This window comes from Homo sapiens, chromosome 13 (genome assembly GCF_000001405.40).
Source record: "Homo sapiens chromosome 13, GRCh38.p14 Primary Assembly".
NCBI classification, from domain to species: Eukaryota; Metazoa; Chordata; class Mammalia; order Primates; family Hominidae; genus Homo; species Homo sapiens.
Window position 1 is genome coordinate 49,788,260 of NC_000013.11, and position 21,307 is coordinate 49,809,566.

A 21,307-nucleotide genomic window follows, 5' to 3' on the forward strand; every position below is an offset into this window, starting at 1 on the left:
CAGCAAGAAAATGAGTTGACCTGGATTGCAGTTACCTGAGCATTTGTTTTGTAATTATTCATTAAACAGAACATTTCTGTTTTGCACACTTTTCTATAAGTTATCTTTGAAAACAGGAAAAGTTTTTAAGAATCAATGCCTTACATGAAAAGGTCTAGCATTAAAATGCACATTCCAGGACCGGGCATGGTGACTCATGCCCCTAATCCCAACACTTTTAGAGGCCAAGGCAGGAGGATAACTTGAGCTAGCAGTTTGAAACCAGCCTGGGCAACATGGCAAAACCCCGTCTCTACAAAAAACACAAAAATTAGCCAGGTGTGGTGGCATGTGCCTGTAGTCCCAGCTACTCAAGAGGCTGAGATGGAAGGACGGCTTGAGCCTGGGAGGAGGCGAAGGTTATAGTGAGCCGAGATTGGGCCACTGCACTCCACCCTTGGCGACAGAGCCAGACCCTCTTTTTTTTTTTTTTTTTTTTTAAAAAAAAAAAGCACATTCCAGAACAAATAAAAGGAAATGTTTCCCTTTCAATATGTACTTCCTAGTTTTTGCTACAAAATGCATCCCCTACCCAAGCTCCAAATTTCTATCAGTGATGATAATTACTCCCTCCCTTCCTCCATTTATAAACCTCAGAATAACCTTTACTCCCTTTCTCTTCAGTGATCTTTATAAAGAGAATTTGAAGGAGGAGGAAGAGGGAGGAAGAACAGCATCATCAAATCCTCATTCCAGGTTGTAGCCATTCCCAGTCTCAATTTTTTGGAAAACTCTTCTTTGCAGATCAGACAACAGCGCTATTTCTCCAAAATGAATTCTAGGTATTACTGCCCTGTCACCCTTTCCATTGCTCTAATCATGTTACATCTCCTCTTTGCTCTGGAATAAATTCCTTCACATCTCCCTATTAAGAAAAAGCTTCCAAGCAACTCTTTGCCACAAGATATTCTTGCATCAACACAGGCCACCTGGAAGTCTCCTCTCTTTAATATAATCACTCTTCTTTTTTACCTGGATATTTATTCACCAGTTAACATGCCCCTTTTAAGTTTGGTACATATTTCCTATAAGATTCACTAACCTCATTTTTTTTTTCCTCTCCAAAGATCTCTTAAAGTCTCTCTCGATTGAATGACAAAGAAATTTTCTTCCTCAACCCTCTCTCTACTCAAATCCCCTGGCATAACTCTATCCTTTTATTTTCTTTAACAAGTATGGATCTTATTCTTGCACCTAACATCTTGTGTATCAGCTGCTTCTATAATTTATAACATGTTTTAGTTTTTGTCTATCCTATATGTGAAAAAATAGGCATCATAGCTTATCAAAGTGCATCTCACTGTTTTGGAACAGCCTGATAACCACAACTACTCAGTTACAGAGCTAAGTTGTACTGTTTCTAATGGACAAGACTAAGCATGGTTATCTACTCTTAGATATGCCTAAATCCCCAATAAAGGCCCTTCATCAGATTTGACCCCAGTTTACCCTTTAGTCTCTCTCTCTCCTACATTTCTCTCAGGACTCTTCAATTACTGCTCCCTCTAGTCTGGAATGCCCCTTTCTTCCACCAGCCTTCTCCCGCCCTTTGCCTGGCCACCTTTCTTTCATCCTTCACAATCAGCTCACTCCCATTCATCCATTAGAAATCAACCAGAGTATCTTCCCTTTCTGCTCACCTCCAAGTAGTTTTTTTGGCATGCATTTTCGGAATACTATACTGTAACAATTGTTGTTCTGCATTGTAATTATCACCCCCACTGGACTGTAAACTCCCTGAAGTACAGACTGCATCTTATTCCTTATCCCCAAGACCTAACATTGATAGATACCCAATAGACAATTAGTGAATAAATAATACCCATATCCACTGAGTGACATGCACAGGCTACATAAGCACACTGAGGTTTTTTATCTAAAGTTCCAGCTGGGTGTGACGACTAGCATCTGTAGTTCGAACACTTTGGAAGGCCGAGGCGGGAGAATCACTGGAGCCCAGGAGTTCAAGACAAGCTTGGGCAACAAAGCGAGACCCCGTCTCTAAAAAAGATTAAAAAATTAGCCAGGTGTGGTGGTGTCCGCCTGTAGTCCCAGCTACTTGGGAGGCCATGGTGGGAAGATTCCTTGAACCTAGAAGTTTGAGCTTGCAGCTGAGCTATGAGTGCCTGAGCACTCCAACTTGGGTAAAGGAGCAAGACTCCGTCTCAAAAAATACTTTACTCATGTAAAGTGGGGATAATGCCACACTTCATATACTTGTTACACAGATTAAATAAGGTATCATGAAGCTCGTAACAGTGTCTGCCACATTAGAACTACCATTTGAATGTCTATTTCATGTTTTAGTTACACTATAGAATCCCGAGAAATGTAATGTTGTGACCAATACCAGGCTGAATGGCTTAGCAACCATGCTCTTTTTCATGCATCTAAAAGTCACGGGTTACATTCTTATCAGCAAATATTTGTTGTGTACCTATTATGTGCAGGAGTCCTTACTAAGTATCACTGAGCTACCAGAACACAATAGAGGTAAACAATGAAACAAAAACCTGTACCAATATCCGAGAGAAGAATGTTACTGGTTTTTCTGTACAAACAATGAGTATTTTTCAATAAATTTTTATTTGGAACAGGATAGGCTTCAAGAAAAATTCCTAATGGGAAAAGTTCAAAATTAACACTTGTCATCAAGTGGACCAATAACAGGAGGCAGTTCCAAAATTTCTTGTTCCTATTCCCAAGTTTTACTTTCGCTTAGATGTATTTCTTACAAAGGGTATTTAACCATGACCAGGAAAGAATATATGATCTTTATTTGACTCATTTAAATGGGAATTCCACGGATATCTCCCTAGGTTCTTTCCTACTAGTATTTAATTTTGTAGCTCTGAAAAACGGCCTGAGTTTGTCTGTTTCTCTACAAAATAGAACACTGAATGGTATATTTACCCCACAACCTTCCTTAAGACAGGATAAAACACACCTCTTAATCACACTAGCTTATCAAAAATTACAAAACTGCAAATCATGTCGCCTAGTATTAGCAAAGAAGGCTGCGGCCTTAAAACCATTTTCCCCCTAACAAATCCAAAGGTCACGGTCCCAGTGAAGTTTGTGCATTATACTTACTGTTTTCAGTAGCTGCAGAGAGACCTCTAGCGCTGCCTCAATAAGCCGAGTTTGCAAATAGTACCTGCTAATGTCACCTTAATGAGACAATGGCAACATGCTGAGTAGCAACTAACTGAGTGACCGCGATGAATGTTTAGTTTTGCAACCACTTGGAAATTCTACTAGCTTGGAGCAAGAGGTATGTAAGAGAATTATGAACCTGTGTATCCAATTTATTTTAGTAAAACGTGTCAAAGAAATTATCACCCTATGCACACCCCACTCCAAGAAAGGCTAAGAAAACAAGTCCTATGAGCGGAGGTCGGAGCAACCTCTTTTCCGAAGCCTGAACACAATAGATGGCAAACTATTGTCCACCTTCAGCTCGCTCCAAATGCCAGCAGTTGCAGGAGTATGAGCTGCAACAGCTCGGCACGACTAGTCCAAAGACGAGCACTGGAATATAAGAAAATGGTCCTGGCGCATCCTACCCTCCCCCATCGATCACCCTCAAACAAGTCAGTTACCCGGCTGGTCCCCACCCCCCTCTGCGGGCCGCCACCGCCCGCCTGGGCCCGGCTCGCAGAAGGTAGGAGCCCGGACCGGCAGAGCCGAGGCTCCATGTGAGCCGCGCGGGAGGCGCAGAGGGGGCTGCACCGGACGGAAGGTTGCACCGGTGGCGGGCGCAAGCAGCGGCCGCCCCCTCGGCTGTGCGGTCGGAGGGCCCGGGCGGCAGCATCCCCGTTCATCCGGGCGGCCCTGGCCCGCGGACCCCGCCTCAGCTCCACATCCCCTCCTCGCCGACACCAGGCCGCGCCCGCGTGACGGGGCCGAAAACGCCGGCATTTCCCGGTCGCCGCGCCGGCAGCTCCGGGGGGTGACTGCAGCCCGGCCGGCGTCTCGCCGCCCGCTCCGCCCAGCCCGGGGCCGCGGTGACGGGAGGCGGCGGCCAACTCCGGCCGACCACAAGCCGACGAGAACCAGCCCGGCGCCGGCCCCCCGCCCCTCCCCGCGTCGCCGGGCCGGCGCGGCCAGGCGGGCCCAGACCGCGGAAGCACACTCACTTCCACATCGCGGCCCTTGTTCTTGAAGCTCTTGATGCGGTGGTTCTCCAAGCTGGGGTTCTCGGCCATGGCTGCGCGCGGCTCCGGCGGCGGCTACTCCTGCGGCTGCGGCGGCGGCGGCGGCGAATCTTGGAGCGGGAGGGGGAGGAGGGGGAGAGCGGGAGGGGGGAGGGGAGAGAAGAGCACGTTCTGTGACGCCTCCGAGCGCGAGGTGGCAGTAGCGCCGGGGGAGGCGCGGGCCGACTGCCGGGCCGGGTGGGGCGGGAACGGTGCTGAGAGCGGCGCGCGGCCGCGGAGGCTGGCGACACGTGACCGGGGGCGGTGACCGGCTTGGGCGTTCGCCGGGCTATACGTGCCCGTTGGTTCTCGGGATGACCCTGCCCTCTTCCCCTGCAAGGGCTCTCCACAACCCCTCGGTGCTGCAAGTTTTGTGCCAGAAATGGAGCCGGACCTGGCGACTTTTACTGCCCCTCAGGCGCGGGGCGGCGGTCGTCAACTACAGTTCCCATCATGCCACGATCCGCCTGGAGTAATTCTCCACGCCTAGTGAGAACGAGGAGAATGCCGGGACCCTTCCGCGCGCGGCTCTTTGCGCGCCGCGCTCATGTTGCTGGGCACAAAGCTCCGCCCCCACAAGGCCGCCTCTGGGCGGGGAAGAGCGGGGGAGCGTCCCTGGCACCTTGCGCCCTATCAGGAGGAAGAGGGCGGGCCTTCCTGGGAGCGCACCTCGCTGCCTGTAGCTAGAAGATCAGAAAAGGAACAACCGCGAGTGCTTTGCAGTCTCGCTTTTTTGGGGGTCTTCTCAAATAGCCACCTTCATTCGCTCTTCCCATGCTCTGCTTCAGTTTTATAAATAGCATTTCTACCTGACATGTACATGTGTATGTATGTGATACGAGTGTTTATATGCGTTACCTAGGTGCCCGCGCGGAAATTCAGCTCAATGAGAGCAGGTACTTTGGTTGAATTACTGCTGAATCTCTAGTGTCAAAACAATGCCTACCACGTCGTAGATACGCAATACTTGTTGAACTGGCGCTTTAGTGTCGCCCAGTTTCTTCATCATCCTTCCAAGCCCGGTTCTGCAACCTTCACTCTGGCAGTCCCTGTATTTACATGCCCCCCAACACTTCTTGTTCTACCACCACACAGAATCTTAGCCTTCAGGCAGCAGCCCAGCCCTGGTCCGCAGACTCTCCTGTGTAGCACTCCCACTCCCTCTGGGGGCATCGAAAGAATGAAAGAGGGAAATTTGGATGGATTACACTGATAAAGAGCTGCTTTCGGCCGGGTGTGGTGGCTCACGCCTGTAATCCCAGCACTTTGGGAGGCCGAGGAGGGCAGATCACAAGGTCAAGAGACCGAGACCAGTCTGGCCAACCATGGCCCGCATGGTGAAACCCCTTCTTTACTAAATATACAAAAATTAGCTGGGCGTGGTGGCGCATGCCTGGAGGCTGAGGCAGGAGAATCGCTTGAACCCGGTAGGCGGAGGTTGCAGCGAGCCGAGATGGCGCCACTGCACTCCAGCCTGGCGACAGAGGGAGACTCTGTCTCAAACAAAACAACAAAAACAACAACAACAAAAACAAAAAGCTACTTTCTGGAGCAGGTGGGCTTCATTTGCTTGTATGTTAATTTTCAGAATCTATGGTAGACATGAGCAGGTATGTAATGTTGTAGTACTTATAATTGAACTGAGGTCAAAAGTTGGTAGGACTATACCATGAAGAGATCAAAAAGGACAATCTTTAAAGCGAAAGGGCCTTGGCTGGGCGCGGTGGCTCATGCCTGTAATCCCAGCACTTTGGGAGGTCGAGGTGGGTGGATCACAAGGTCAGGAGGTCGAGACCAGCCTGGCCAACATGGTGAAACCCCACCTCTACTAAAAAAAATACAAAAATTAGACGGGCATATGGCGCATACCTGTAATCTCAGCTACTTGGGAGCCTGAGGCAGGAGAATTGCTTGAACCTGGGAGGCGGAGGTTGCAGTGAGCTGAGATCGTGTCACTGCACTCCAGCCTAGGCGACAGAGTGAGACTCCATCCCCAAAAAATAAAAATAAAAAATTCAAACAACCCAACAAAAACATGCAAAGGACACTGATCACAGAAAAAGAATAAATATATGAGGAGATACAGAAAAAAAAAAAAAAAAAAAAGCGAAAGGGCCTTAAAGAACCTGAGGCCCAGAAGTCAGGAATTCAGAAGCCTTTGGTGGCCAAGCTATGTCCAGGGGCATTCGTCTTGTGAGTGGTGGGGTGTGGCCTATTGATAAACACAGGCTTCAGATCCTCTGGTCATACTGGACTGTGGCCCAGTGTTGCCAGAAGATTCCACTTTTCAAGGAAAACCAAAAAGGTAGATTCTTTTTCTCTTTATTTTTAAATGTTAATTCACATTTTGTTAATGGACTTAAGCATTTCAGTCACTTCAGAATATCAGGTCCTCAGTTTGCAACACCTGATCTTAGTCTAACCACTCATTTGAAGGGAAACACACACACACACACCAGCTATGAATTTAGAAGGAATACATTAGGCAGGGCACAGTGGCTCATGCCTGTAATCCCAGCACTTTGGGAGGCTGAGGTGGGAGGATCACCTGAGGTCAGGAGTTTGAGACCAGTCTGGCCAACCATGGCCCACATAGTGAAACCCTTTCTCTACAAAAATACAAAAATTAGGCAGGCATGGTGGTGCATGCCTGTAGTCACAGGTGCTCAGGAAGCTGAGGCAGGAGAATCGCTTGAACCTGGGAGGCGGAGGTTGCAGTGAGTTGAGATTGCGCCACTGCACTCCAGCCTGGGTAACAGAATGAGACTCTGTCTCAAAAAAAAGAAAAAAGAAAGAATACATTAGCTCAACTCTGGGTTTTAAGGAAACAGAACTTGTGTGTTTGCCATTCTCCTTGGCTAAATGGAAGAGAAATTTTCAGACTGTTGCTCAGTCTCTATTATAATTTAGTAGGTATTCCCTTTTCAGGTTACTTTATGCCACCTTTCTTCACACCCAGTCCAAAGCAGGGCTGCCCTTTTGCCTGGATCTAGTTTACTCATTTTTATTCTTTGCCAGTACCCCTGGTAACTTCAGCATTCACAAATGTGGCACCCTGACACCACAGTCTTTCTACATCCTTAACTTCACCAAGTTTTTTACCACTCAAGTGGTAAAAAGTGCAAGCCTGCACCAGACCTTGGAGACCTTAATCTCTGGGAAATGACCACCTCCAGGGACTCAAATTTGGTGCTTCTCATTGTTAGAAACTATCTCCTTCTCTTTTGCCTCACTCTAATCATCATCCTTGGCCTGAAACTTCTCTGGACAGCTCTTCTTTTAAATGGATTTATTTTCCACACATATTGTGAGTGTCTACTGTATACCAAGCATTGTATTCATCGGGCACATGTATGAAGGACTAGGGGGTCTCGGGGGAGACAGGAAGGAAGGGCCCTCAGCCCAGGGGTCAATCAAATCCTCTGACTCACTCTCCACCTTCCCAAGGCATGGGGAGTCATGCCAGCAGTCAGTCAGGTAGCAGTATGCCGTAGGCAACACAAGCATAACAGATGGGAAAAGGACTTCATGATTTGCCTCCTAAGTCAGCTTCTTTCTGCAAACTCACCCCTCTATTACTGGCATAACCATTCTTCCAGGGACACCTCTCCAAGCTAAGAGCCGTCTTTACTTCTTGTCTCTCTCCCTCAACTCCCTCACCTAGTCACCATGTTAATTCACCACTCAGTGTTTCTGGCATCTCTCTCTTCTTCCCATGCCACCCACGAGACTACCTTAACACCTCCTAAGCAGTCCACCTGCCTCCCCAATCCCTCCACAGCAATCTGACTCACTTCTCCAGATCTTCCTGACTTCATCTCTGCTCCCAATCAGCATACCCTTCTCCTCTGCCATTGTCTGTCAAATCATTTATAAACTCAGTCTAGGGCCAGGCTCCGTGGCTCACGCCTGTAATCTCAGCACTTTAGGAGGCCGAGGCGGGTGGATCACCTGAGGTCAAGAGTTCAAGACCAGGCCAGGCGCAGTGGCTCATGCCTGTAATCCCAGCGCTTTGGGAGGCCGAGGCAGGTGGATCACGAGGTCAGGAGATCGAGACCATCCTGGCCAACATGGTGAAACCCCGTCTCTACTAAAAATACAAAAAAATTAGCCAGGCGTGGTGGCGGGTACCTGTAGTCCCAGCTACTCGGGAGGCTGAGGCAGGAGAATGGCCTGAACCCAGGAGGCGGAGCTTGCAGTGAGCCGAGATCAGGCCACTGCACTCCAGCCTGGGCAACTGAGCAAGACTCCATCAAAAAAAAAAAAAAAAAAAAGGAGTTCAAGACCAGCCTGACCAACATGGTGAAACCCCGTCTCTACTAAAAAAAATACAAAAAGTTAGCCAGGCACGGTGCCAACGCCTGTAATCCCAGCTACTTGGAACGCTGAGGCAGGAGAATCGCTTGAACCTGGAAAAGGGAGGTTACAGTGAGCCGAGATCGCACCACTGCACTCCAGCCTGGGCAACAAGAGCAAAACTCCACCTCAAAAAATATACATATTAAAATAAATAAACTTGTCTAGTGGTTAAGATCATATGTGATGCAGCCACAGTGCAAGATACTTTTTTCTTATTTTTGGTTCCCCTGCACATTGCTCATGCTTCAGCTAACATGTTCTGCTCACCTTTTTCCAAGTATATCTTAACCTTTCCAGTTTTTACATCTTTGCCATTTGACTTGCTCAGATGGCCCTGCCTCTGTCTCTGCCTGTCAACATCGCTTCCTCTTTGAATACTCATCCCACATGGTCACCTTCTCTATGAAGCTTTCCCAGCGTGGTACTGTGGAAGGATCTTCAGAACCTGAAAATTCAGGTCCCAGGGCTGATCCTATCAGATCAAGCCCAGGTAAGTCAATTATCTGCCCTCAATCCTCTTTTCATCTACAAGTAAGGATCCTGAATCACTGGGGTTTTGTGAGAATCAAATTCTAAAATGCATGTGGAAGTGCTTTGAAATTGCTCTATTAATATTAGTTGTTACTATCTTCCTAGCCAGGAGTAATATGTTTCCCTCTGAACCTCAGAAGAACTTTACTTATGGTTTTGTATTGCTGCAATTTGTGTAGTCTTATCTCTCTCTTACCTATTGCTATGGTGTAAACATCTATGTCCCTCCAAAATTCATATGTTGGAAGCTGATACCCAATGTGCTAGTATTAACACGTGGAGTCTTTTGGGAAGTAATGAAGTTTTCATAGCTCTGCCCTCATGAATGGATTAGTGCTCTTATAAAAGAGGCTGCAGCCAGTGTGTACCTGTGGTCCCAGCTACTTGGGAGACTGAAGTAGGAGGATCATTTGAGGCCAGGAGTTCAAGGCTATAGTGGGCTCTGATCACACTTGTGACCAGCCACTGCACTCCAGTCTGGGCAACATAGCAGGACCCCATCTCCAAAAAAAAAAAAATGTTGAAGGGAGCGCCGTAGTGCCTGTTGCCCTTCTGTCTCTTCCACCATGTGAGGACACAGTGTTCATCCCTCCTGCCATGTGAGGACACAGTGTTCATCCCTCCTGCCATGTGAGGACACAGCAACAAGCAGAGAGCAGCCTTCACCAAACACAGAATCTGCTGGGACCTTGGTCTTGGACTCCAGAACTGTAAGAAATAAGTTTCTGTTGGCCGGGCGGGGTGGCTCACGCCTGTAATCCCAGCACTTTGGGAAGCTGAGGCGGGCGGATCACAAGGTCAGGAGATCGAGACCATCCTGGCTAACATGGTGAAACCCCGTCTCTATTAAAAATACAAAAAATTAGCTGGGTGCGGTGGCGGGCGCCTATAGTCCCAGCTACTCGGGAGGCTGAGGCAGGAGAATGGCGTGAACCCGGGAGGCGGAGCTTGCAGTGAGCCGAGATCGCACCGCTGCACTCCAGCCTGGGTGAGAGAGAGAGACTCGTCTCAAAAAAATAAATAAATAAAATAAAATAAAATAAAATAAGTTTCTGTTGTTTATAAATTATCAGGTCTCAGGTGTTTTGTTCTATCAGCATGTTCTATCATGCATGTTTGCTGAATGAACAAATGAATTAATGAGTGAATGAATAAACTCCTTTCTTCCCTCATGATCACCTTTTGGCTAATTCACCACACTTTAAGCACACCTGAAGCAAAGAGCAAATACTGAAAATTGAAGAAAATGACATCCAAATGCATCAACCCAGCTACCTAGCAGTGCTCTTACCTCAGTGGTAAAGAAATGTAAAATAATAAGTGTTTTCATTTACTGAATTCCTGCCAGGAATTTATATACATCATCTCTAATCCCTGTGAAAGCCCTGCATGGTTGAAATTATCATCTCCATCTCTCTCTGGGGCAGGCGGAGCTTGGAGCTCTGGTTCCAAGGCATGGTGAGAGTCTGTGGTGTTGGCAGGAACAACGGAAGCAAAAAGACACAGAAAGACAAGTGGTTTCTCTTGTGGCCAATGTCTAGAATAGCAGTAATGAAGACCTCCACTCTCCCCAAAGAACAAATACAGTCCTTAGACTCTAGGAAAGTAAGGTCTCCTCTCCAAGGGGTGTCCCCTGTGCGGGGAGCATCAGTCATGGAAATGGGTGTGCCTAGCAGGGCAACCATCTCGTGATCCATGATAGTCAGTAGCAGCAGACAGCATTGTAGCAGTAAGGTGAAAAGTCAGAGAGGAAGAACCAGATAAATCCCCAGAAATAATTGGGGACACCTCAAGCGAGGCTAGTGTCTGGCCAGTAAGCACTGATACATAATTATGTGGATAACACAAATAAGATAACCTCAATGCATAATAATGGGCTAATGGGCCTGGGACACACACATTGTCCCCCAATATCATTTTCAAATAATTAGACTACAATAAAATAAACAATGTTAAAATTGTAGTGGGCATAATTTAGAATATACTTACCGTCTCAAGGTCATGATTCTGCATGATTTTACACATATGTGAAATCTGCATGATTTTACACATATGTGAAATCTGCATGATTTTACACATATGTGAAATCTGCATGATTTTACACATATGTGAAATCTGCATGATTTTACACATATGTGAAATCTGCATGATTTTACACATATGTGAAATCTGCATGATTTTACACATATGTGAAATCTGCATGATTTTACACATATGTGAAATCTGCATGATTTTACACATATGTGAAATCTGCATGATTTTACACATATGTGAAATCTGCATGATTTTACACATATGTGAAATCTGCATGATTTTACACATATGTGAAATCTGCATGATTTTACACATATGTGAAATCTGCATGATTTTACACATATGTGAAATCTGCATGATTTTACACATATGTGAAATCTGCATGATTTTACACATATGTGAAATCTGCATGATTTTACACATAAGTGAAATCTGCATGATTTTACACATATGTGAAATCTGCATGATTTTACACATATGTGAAATCTGCATGATTTTACACATATGTGAAATCTGCATGATTTTACACATATGTGAAATCTGCATGATTTTACACATAAGTGAAATCTGCATGATTTTACACATATGTGAAATCTGCATGATTTTACACATATGTAAAAATATAATTTTATACTACTAGATATTATAGGACACATATATAGATATAATTTTAAAATACTAGATATTATAGTACATATATGTAAAAATATAATTTTACAATACTAGATATAGAACCAAATGGTACCTTAGAGATGAACACAGTCCTGGAAGTTTAGTAACTTGCTGGTTCTTTAAATAACAAGCAGTGTGTCCTTGAACAGGTTATTTCATATAAGTAGCAAGTTGCTCACTTGTGAAATGAGCACGTTGGACTGGGTGATCTTGAAGCCTCCTCTCACAGGCATAATGCTTTGAACCTGTGAGCCCACCACTCCAGTCCAGCAGCATCTCTTCTCCTGTCTCTCCCTATTTTATAGATGAGAAATACAAAGACAGTAAATGATCATAATTGTCAAACGGACCGAAAGTTGAGTGTTCTGATTTTTTTCCACTCATGTCCAGTCCTTCATGGGCCTTCTGATTTTCCAGAAGCTGCCACTGTGCTCAACCCACCAGATCTTCCCTGTCTCAAATGCATTAGGCCACCAAATCACCCTCAAACCAAAGTTTTCGCTCTCAAAATAGTTGAGATAGGCTGGGTGCAGTGGCTCGTGCCTGTAATCCCAGAGACTTAGGAGGCTAAGGCAAGAGGATCGCTTGAGCCCAGGAGTTTGAGGCTGCAGTATACTGTGAATGCACCACTGCACTCCAGCCTGGGCGACAGAATGAGATCCCATAGCTGAAAAAAAAAATTAAATTAAAAGTTATTAAGATAAATCATTATCTCAGATAAGAAATAATTCACTCACGGTAAGGTATGAATGACCTTATTAAACCATGTGAACTCCAGCAGATGGAATGTCTGATATATCTAACCTATTATTAACATCCACCCTCCCCTCCCCACACAAGAAAACAAAAAGCAATCCTTTGGCATCCAATTTCAGCTGATCCCTGCTGGAAGTTATTTTGATAATACTAGGGCTACTGGGAAGTGACCTCTTTGAACGAATACCAGATTTGTTATCTGTTTCTGCATCATCTTCTCCAGTAAACACGAGTACCTGGAGGAAAGCATTTATGTCTTACTCATTTTTGGGTTCCCTGTGTCTAATATGGTACATAGCACATGATGGGGCCTCAACAAATGCTAGGTGGATTAATAAATAAACTCAAGTAGAAAAAAAAATTAACCTTACCCATTGGAGGGGAATCCATAAAATGTTTGGTATAATAAAAATGAGGAGCAACCGGGCGCGGTGGCTCATGCCTGCAATCCCAGCCCTGTGCGGGGCTGAGGCGGGTAGTTCACGAGGTCAAGAGATCAAGACCATCCTGGCCAACATGGTGAAACCCCGTCTCTACTAAAAATACAAAAATTAGTTGTGGTGGCGCACGCTACTCAGGAGGCTGAGGCAGGAGAATCGCTTGAACCCAGGAGGCGGAGGTTGCAGTGAGCCAAGATCGCGCAACTGCACTCCAGCCTGGCGACAGAGTGATACTCTGTCAAAAAAAAAAAAAAAAAAAGGAAAAGAAAAAAGAGGAGCACATTTCTTTTTTGCATAAAAAAGTCATAGTCTGGTGAAGATGGGGATTATGGTTATAAAATAATAATAGGCTGTGGTGGCTCATGCCTGTAATTCCAGCACTTTGGGAGGCTGAGGCAGGCAGATCACTTGAGGCCAGCAGTTCGAAAAAATTAGCCGGGCATGGTGGTGGGTGCCTGTAATCCCCGCTACTCGGGAGGCTGAGGCTAGAGAATCTCTTGAACCCAGGAGGCGGACGTTACTGTGAGCTGGGATCATGCCATTGCACTCCAGCCTAGGTGACAGAGGGAGACTCCGTCTCAAAATAAATAAATAAGTAAATAAATACATAAATAAAAATAAAAAATAATCGGGGGATGGCAGGGAGCAGGGGAGAGCATTAGGGAAAAGAGCTAATGGATGCAGGGCTTAATACCTAGGTGATGGGTTGATAGGAGCAGCAAACCACTGTGGCACATGTTTACCTATGTAACAAACCTGTACATCCTCCACGTGAACCCTGGAACTGAAAAAAATAAAATAAAATAATGATTTTTAAAAATCACCAACATGTAGAGACGTAAATAGGAAAAAAAAATGATCAATGACAACTACTGAGTGTGCACCATGTGCCAGGAACCACGTTAAGCCTTTTCTGGGATTACTTCTTTTAATTCTCACAACAGTATTATCAGGTAGAAACTATTTTTACTCCTATTTTATAGAGGAAGAAACTGAGGCCAAAAAATGCTAAGTAACTCTTGCACAGTCAGGAGGAGAGAGGGTCCATGCAACTTGATTGCAGGGCCCATGTCTGTAATTTGGTTTTCTGCAGGCAAGCACGCAGAGAGATGGGGGAGAGCCATGTGTCCTGTCTGGGTCACAATACCTAGAGATACCTCCTTGATCCAGCACAAACAAAACGGTTTCCACAGGACAATAATGTTATATTTAGTTGCAAAACAAACAAACAAAAAAAGGTCTAGGTAAACTGGTTACCAAAAGAGGAAGAATTAAACAAGTGTGAAAAGCTAGTCTCTACTGAAAAGAGATTTTTATCGTCAAGTCAGCAGGACTAGGAGAGGACTCAGACAAACCACTAAATCCACAAGTCGGACAAAAAAGGGCTTGTCATCTAGAGTTGTATTAAGTAGATAACTTTTTATCCTTTGCATATTGCCATTTGGAGGAGACATACTCTGCTTACTAATTATGGAGCGTTAAAGACTCCAGTCTGTAAATATTCAGCTCTAAAGTCATTCCTGGAAAACAAGGTAACGGGAGGCAGGAGACACCTGAAAGTAGCCATCCAAAAGACTGGTTCATTAGTTTGATTGTAAACATTCTCCTCTGTCCCTACTATTTGAGGAATTTATGATTCCCTAGGTTGGAAAATACCTAGAGAACTGAAATGTGCAGTAACAATGCTTTTTTTTTTTTTTTTTTTTGAGACGGAGTTTCCTTTTTTTTGCCCAGGCTGGAGTGCAATGGTGTGATCTCAGCTCACTGCAACCTCCGCCTCCCGGGTTCAAGTGATTCTCCTGCATCAGCCTCCCAAGTAGCTGGAATTACAGGCATGTGCCACCACGCCCAGCTAATTTTGTATTTTCAGTAGAGACAAGGTTTCACCAGGCTGGTCTCAAACTCTTGACCTCAGGTGATCTGCCTGCCTTGGCCTCCCAAAGTGCTGGAATTACAGGCGTGAGCTATCGCACCCAGCATTTTTTTTTTTTTTTGAGACAACGGCTCGTTCTGTTGCCCAGGTGGGAGTGCAGTGGCGCAATCTCAGCTCACTGCAACCTCCGCCTCCCAGGTTCAAGCAATTCTCATGCCTCAGCCTCCCGAGTAGCTGGGATTACAGGTGTGTGCCATCATGCCTGGCTAATTTTTGTATTTTTAGTAGAGATGGGGTTTCGCCGTGTTGGCCAGGCTGGTCTCAAACTCCTAGCTTCAGGTGATCTGCCCGCCTCGGTCTCCCAAAATGAACAATACAGTTCTGGGCACACTGTTTCCCCCCTATTTCAAATTTCTATGTCCCTTATAATCAACATTGCCAATACATTAATAATCCTTAGTGAATGGCCAATAGAAATTTTCTAAAAGAAATTTTTCTTACCTAACTTGTATGAGTCTTTTAACTTTTAGGTCTATTTCCCTTTAAATCCTGCAGTTTAAATAACTTTGCTTTGGCCAGGTGCGGTGGCTCAGGCCTGTAATCCCAGCACGTTAAGAGGCCAAGGCGGGTGGATCATGAGGTCAGGAGTTCAAGACCAGCCTGGCGAAGATGGTGAAACCTTATCTATACTAAAAATACAAAAATTAGCTGGGCATGGTGGCAGGTGCCTGTAATCCCAGCTACTCGGGAGGCTGAGGCAGAGAATTGCTTAAACCCGGGAGGCGGAGGTTTCAGTGCACCAAGATCGTGCCACTGCACTCCAGCCTGGGCGACAGAGCGAGACTCTGTCTCAAAAAACAGAAAAGAAAAGTAACTTTGCTTTGGATAAAATGTGTTTTTTCCTCCAACTACACTTTCACATTTTCTCTCTTTGATACGCAGATGTTCTATCCATGAGATCATAGTAGCTTAAGCATTTATAGACAAGGCAGTGTGATGTCCTATAGTTATGCTCTCCAGTACAGCTGCCACTAGCTACATGTGGCTATTTAACTTTAAATTTAAATTAATGAAAATTAAATGTAACTAAAAATTAAGTTTCTAGGGCCAGCACAGTGGCTCATGCCTATAATCCCAGCATTTTGGGAGGCCTAAGCAGGGAATCTCTTGAGACCAGGAGTTTGAGACCAGCCTGGGCAATATTATGAGACCCCCGTCTCTACAAAAATTCTTTTAAAAATTTCTTTTAAATTTTTAAATTTAAGCCACTCCTAGCTACTCAGAAGGCTGAGGTGGGAGGATTGCTCGAGCCCAGGAGTTCAAGGCTGCAGTGAGCTATGATTGTGCCACTGCACTGCACCCTGGGCAACAGAGAGCAAGACCTGTCTCAAAAAAAAAAAAATTGAGTTTTTCTTCACACTAGTTTCATTTTATGTGCGCAATAGTCACCATATTGTGGGGACTGTATTGGTAACAGAGATATAGAACCTTATCACAGAAAATTCTGTGGCTACCCCAGAAAGAACACAACACACGTTTAGCAACAGACAGACCTTCATCTTTTCAATTTCCACCTTAATCTTTTACTAGACTTGTGACCATGGGAAGTTTCTTAAACTTTCAAAGTTTCAGATATTTAAACTATAAAATAGAAATACAGCTGGGTGCAGTGGCTCATGCCTGTAATCTCAGCACTTTGGGAGGCCAAGGCAGGTGGATCACCTGAGGTCAGGAGTTCGAGACCAGCCTGGCCAATATGGTGAAACCTCATCTCTACTAAAAATACAAAAAATTAGCCGGGCATGGTGGCAGGTGCCTGTGATCCCAGCTACTCAGGAGGCTGAGGCAGGAGAATCGCTTGAACACGGGAGGCAGCGGTTGCGGTAAGCCAAGATCACATCACTGCACTCCAGCCTGGGTGACAGAATGAGACTCTGTCTCAAAAAAAAAAAAAAAAAAGAAAGAAAAGAAAAGAAAAAAAAAGAAAAAGAAAAAAGAAAGAAACACAAACATACCTACACCTGTGTGGTGGTAGTCAGTAATGCCCAACACACTTTATTGCTTAATAAAACTATTATTATTAGTGCTTAGGGATCAAACATTCCCTTTTTGATCCAAAGTAAAAAAGCTTTTGAGGCCAGGTGTGGTGGCTCATGCCCGTAATCCCAGCACTTTGGGAGGCCGAGGCAGGCGGATCACCTGAGGTCGGGAGTTTGAGGCCAGCCTGGCCAACATGGTGAAACCCTGTCTCTACTTAAAATACAAAAATTAGCTGTGCGTGGTGGTGCACCCCTGTAGTCTCAGCTACTTGGGAGGCTGAGGCATGAGAATCGCTTGAACCTGGGAGGTGGAGGTTGCAGGGAGTGGAGCTCGTGCCATTGCACTCCAGCCTGGGCAACAGAGCGAGACTCCGTCTCTCCAAAAAAAAAAAGAAGCTTTTAAGATTCAAAGTAGATATCAATATTTTCTTCATACCTTGAGTACTCAATAAACCTTGCAGACTACCAAAAATTTAGATTAAAAATGTCATAGAATACTTACACGTTTTTGTTCCTTCTCTAGGAGAAAAACAACTTGAATTGCCGTGGAGAAACCTTAGACTCTGGTAGCTGTTTAAACTCATAAATTGTCCCAGAAGATTTCTAATTCCCAAACCATCAAACCGTCCCTCACATTTAATTCAGGAACACGTTCGGCAAATGTTTGTGTTTGTACACGAAGTCTCTCAGCGATCTAAGTTTGACTTGGAGAGCAATGAGGCAAAATTCCCATCTTCCTACCCCACTTTAACTTGGAGATAAAACCTACTCAAGTTATACATACCAGTACTTTCAAAAGCCCTTCAACTTATCTAAGCATCTCTCTAGCCCCACACTCTTCCCCTTTTCATCTCAATATGGAACTTTGTGTAAAAGCATCCAAAGCTGAAAGACAGAGCTGTGGATTATGTGCCTGCAGAGCTTAATCCCTGCCAATCTCACAGAGGGGCACCTTACAGTTAGGAATGTGTGCAACCAGAGCCAGGATAAGTTCAGACTCATCAAACGATTGTTTTATCAACCACAATTACACAATACAACTAAAACAAAAATAACCTTGAGAAGCAATGAGTAACCTACAACTCATCATGATATGAAGTTCAAATAATTGCTAATGCCACACTTGGACAGTCAAGTTTTTCAAGCTTCCCCCTGCTCCCCCTGCCCCCAAAAATAGACAAGATTATGCAATGAGAAGATAAAGGAGATAGAAGACAATGCTCCAGGGCCAGGCGTGGTGGCTCACACCTGTAATCCCAGCACTTAGGGAGGCAGAGGCAGTTGGATCACGAGGTCAGGAGTTCAAGACCAGCCTGGCCAAGATGGTGAAAGCCTGTCTCTACTAAAAATAAAAAAAAAATTAGCCAGGCATGGTGGTGGGCGCCTGTAATCCCAGCTAATTGGGAGGCTGAGACAGAGAATTGCTTGAACCCGGGAGGTAGAGGTTGCAGTGAGCTGAGATCGCACTACTGCACTCCAGCGTGGGCGGCAGAGTAAGACTCCATCTCAAAAAAAAAAAAAGAAAGAAAAAAAGAAATCAATGCTTCATCCTTATTATTCAAAGCTAGATTGCAAAATATACTAATCTAAGAAATCTTTAGTTTTTCTCCTCCCTATAGCTTTAGTTGAGCTTTATGTAGGGTTTCTTTCTTTTATACAAAGAAGCACAAATATCTCTCTTGGAAGACTACAGCTCAGTAACTGATGGGAACATGCAAGGGCAGGTGAAAACACACAGGACAACAATATAAGAATGTTTTCTGATGCACAATATGAGCAAATACGGTTCTAGTCACTCTCTTTCTGCTAAGCAAAAAATCTGACCCAAGCCAACCCCTGCTATCTAAAATGGTCATTTTTGAAAAATGTCTTTATTAGTAATCATTTGTTTTCTGTAGAAATGGGAATAATAATAGCTAGCATTCATTGAGCATTTAATATGTTTAAAGCACTATTTTAAGTAATTCGCATGTATTAACAACAGCCCTATGTGGTAGGTAGAGAATATCATCTTTCGTTTTACAGAGGAATACACCGAGGCATGGAGAGGTTAAACAATTTGCCCAGGGTCACCCAGCTAATAAGTATTAGAGCCAGAATCTGAGCTTGGGCAATCCGGCTCCATTTTACACTCTTGTCTCTGTTGGCAGTTGAAACAAAGATGCACTTACATGGACATTGATTCCTTGCTACACACAAACCTGCAACCATATGTCAAGACTAACATCTTATAGTTTATGGTTACTTGTAGAAACCAAATTAAATGAGGAACCCAAACATTTGATTGGAACCTATTACTGTCATCAAAACCCACTTCTCCTTGGTTTTCATAATTCCCAGTGGGAAGTGTATCTCAGCAATTTTGTCTGTCAGGAATTTTGAAAAGTCAAGAGGTGAGTCCTAGTGACATTACTTCAGCTCCAAATCATAGCACACCTGAAGTTGGAGCCATCCATGAATTTTTCTTCTTTTTAGTTATGTGGCTAAATAAATTCCCTTTTTAAAATGGCTGTTTGAGTTTCAACTGAAAGACTCATAACAGATACACCCCCTTCTCCAGCCACTGCCATCCCCACCCGCACAGTGAGTGTCTCACAGGTGGGACCATGACCTCAGCCGGTCTGTTTATTCAGAGTGAACCTCAGGGCTTTTGTAGACATGGCCAGAAAAGAAGCTCTCTTTCCATTGGACTTGAACCTGGAAAGACGTGAGCCTGGAAATACGGCATCATCTAAGGCTGCTGGAGTCTGCTGCACAGAGCTGGGGTAATAGCCCATCGAGGGTGAAAGTGGAGTTAAGAGAAGCAGGGACATTGAACCCTGCAGGCATCATTTGAGTCCTGAACTTTTTAGTGTCGGAAGCCACTCAACCTCCAGCTATCTATTCCTGCCTTACAAAGACCCTAAATGTAGTGGCTTAAAACAACAAAAATTTATGATGTCTCTCAGCTTGGCAATCTGAGTGATTGTCTGGATTTACTAGTCAGCTTTACCACAGTAACAAATGACTTCCTAAATCCCAGGGGCTTGTAACAACCCATGTTCCTCACTCTGCCGTTACACGTCTGCGATCACATCAGTGAAGGCTCTGATTCTGCTCCATGTGTTTTCACGTTCGGGGACCAAGGCTGCAGGAGGAGCCCCCATTCAAGCAAGACCTGTCATCCCCTTGGCAGAATGAAAAGAGCAAAATACCCGATGGCCCTTTAAAGCCTCAGTTCAAATACGGTGTATGTTATGTCCTTTGATACCCCATTGACCAAAGCAAATCCCTGACTTTGAGGACTCCCTGTAGCTGTCTGGGTAAATTAGGTTAGCACCCGAGGCCCTTTGTGAGAGTTTAAAATAAGGAGATATGCACATACAGAGAAAAAGAGAGACCGAGGCAAAGAAAGAGAATTTATGTGTATTTCTACATGCATGGTGTGTGTATGACTTTTTTTTTTTTTTTGAGATGGAGTTTCGCTCTTGTTGCCCAGGCTGGAGTGCAATGGCATGATCTCAGCTCACTGCAACCTCCACCTCTCGGGTTCAAGTGATTCTCCTGCCTCAGCCTTCCAAGTAGCTGGGCTTACAGGCGCCCATGACCACGCACAGCTAATTTTCTGTATTTTTAGTAGAGACGGGGTTTTACTATGTTGGCCAGGCTGGTCTCGAACTCCTGACCTCAGGTCCACCTGCCTCGGCCTCCCAAAGTGCTGGGATTACAGGCATGAGCCACTGCACCCGGCTGGTGTATAACGTTCTTAAGGCAACTTCATTTCTGTGTGGAAGGTTGAAGGTCAGTCCCAACCTGAGATATAGGACCAGTTCTTTTCTAGTCAGGGAGAATTCAGGAAGCCACGTTCCAAAACAGTAAGTCAGACTTCTGTTGAGCCTGCTCTGATTTCAGACCTTCGTTCTGCTAACAGGGATCCAGCCTTTGGCCCCATCTGTAGAGTCACAGCAGCTCTGCTGCTGCTCATCCGCTGGGGCTACTGCCAATTGCTGCTCAGTCCCTTGCTGTCTTCATAGAGCCTTGGTCACAAGCTTCTTCTCGAGGACAACTACAGGGTCTGCCCCAGGTACATCCCCACCCATGAGCATCTAGTTTCCACCTCCTTTCTGCCTACCAGTCAGGAGCTAAGATAATTCTGATAATATAGTAATAATAGCATCTGTCATTTATTGCATATAGTAATAATAGCATCTACCATTTATTGCATATAGTCTCAAATTCTTATGTATCCCAGAAGTGCAGCTATTTCCAGCTGGGCCTCTGTTTTCATTAGGCATCATTCTTAATATAGATCTCAACCCTTCTTCAAGTCCCCCAGAACAATCCATGAACACCAAAAGTGTTCACGAGCCATGTGTAATTGACTGAGGC

General features: G+C 44.9%; 1 protein-coding gene across 2 annotated transcripts in view, besides 7 other annotated features; it reads right to left on the minus strand.

Moving 5' to 3' along the window:
• The window catches only part of KPNA3 (karyopherin subunit alpha 3), a 93,363-nt gene extending 88,940 nt beyond the window's left edge, over nt 1-4,423 (minus strand). Inside the window, exon 1 of one of the 2 annotated variants that reach the window (NM_002267.4) lies at nt 4,179-4,423. In NM_002267.4, coding sequence (NP_002258.2) covers nt 4,179-4,247 — 69 coding nt within the window. In that variant the 5' untranslated portion in view covers nt 4,248-4,423. Of the gene's footprint in view, nt 1-3,132; nt 3,810-4,178 lie in introns of those variants that run through there. The other variant, XM_017020561.2, reaches the window with a different exon arrangement.
• Nucleotides 2,938-3,457: an enhancer, noted in NCBI's record as "NANOG hESC enhancer chr13:50365333-50365852 (GRCh37/hg19 assembly coordinates)". NCBI's record gives its function as "activates a minimal SCP1, AML or CMV promoter by ChIP-STARR-seq in primed H9 embryonic stem cells {active_cell/tissue: H9 hESC(primed)}" and the evidence as "EXISTENCE:reporter gene assay evidence [ECO:0000049][PMID:30033119]".
• Nucleotides 3,462-4,123: an enhancer, noted in NCBI's record as "H3K27ac hESC enhancer chr13:50365857-50366518 (GRCh37/hg19 assembly coordinates)". NCBI's record gives its function as "activates a minimal SCP1, AML or CMV promoter by ChIP-STARR-seq in naive H9 embryonic stem cells {active_cell/tissue: H9 hESC(naive)}" and the evidence as "EXISTENCE:reporter gene assay evidence [ECO:0000049][PMID:30033119]".
• Nucleotides 3,462-4,148: a biological region, named in NCBI's record as "H3K27ac hESC enhancer GRCh37_chr13:50365857-50366518".
• Nucleotides 3,579-4,148: a silencer, noted in NCBI's record as "silent region_5347". NCBI's record gives its function as "represses an Ori minimal core promoter by ATAC-STARR-seq in GM12878 lymphoblastoid cells {active_cell/tissue: GM12878}" and the evidence as "EXISTENCE:reporter gene assay evidence [ECO:0000049][PMID:35858748]".
• Nucleotides 4,124-4,785: an enhancer, noted in NCBI's record as "H3K27ac hESC enhancer chr13:50366519-50367180 (GRCh37/hg19 assembly coordinates)". NCBI's record gives its function as "activates a minimal SCP1, AML or CMV promoter by ChIP-STARR-seq in primed H9 embryonic stem cells {active_cell/tissue: H9 hESC(primed)}" and the evidence as "EXISTENCE:reporter gene assay evidence [ECO:0000049][PMID:30033119]".
• Nucleotides 4,269-4,518: a silencer, noted in NCBI's record as "silent region_5348". NCBI's record gives its function as "represses an Ori minimal core promoter by ATAC-STARR-seq in GM12878 lymphoblastoid cells {active_cell/tissue: GM12878}" and the evidence as "EXISTENCE:reporter gene assay evidence [ECO:0000049][PMID:35858748]".
• Nucleotides 4,589-4,718: an enhancer, noted in NCBI's record as "active region_7754". NCBI's record gives its function as "activates an Ori minimal core promoter by ATAC-STARR-seq in GM12878 lymphoblastoid cells {active_cell/tissue: GM12878}" and the evidence as "EXISTENCE:reporter gene assay evidence [ECO:0000049][PMID:35858748]".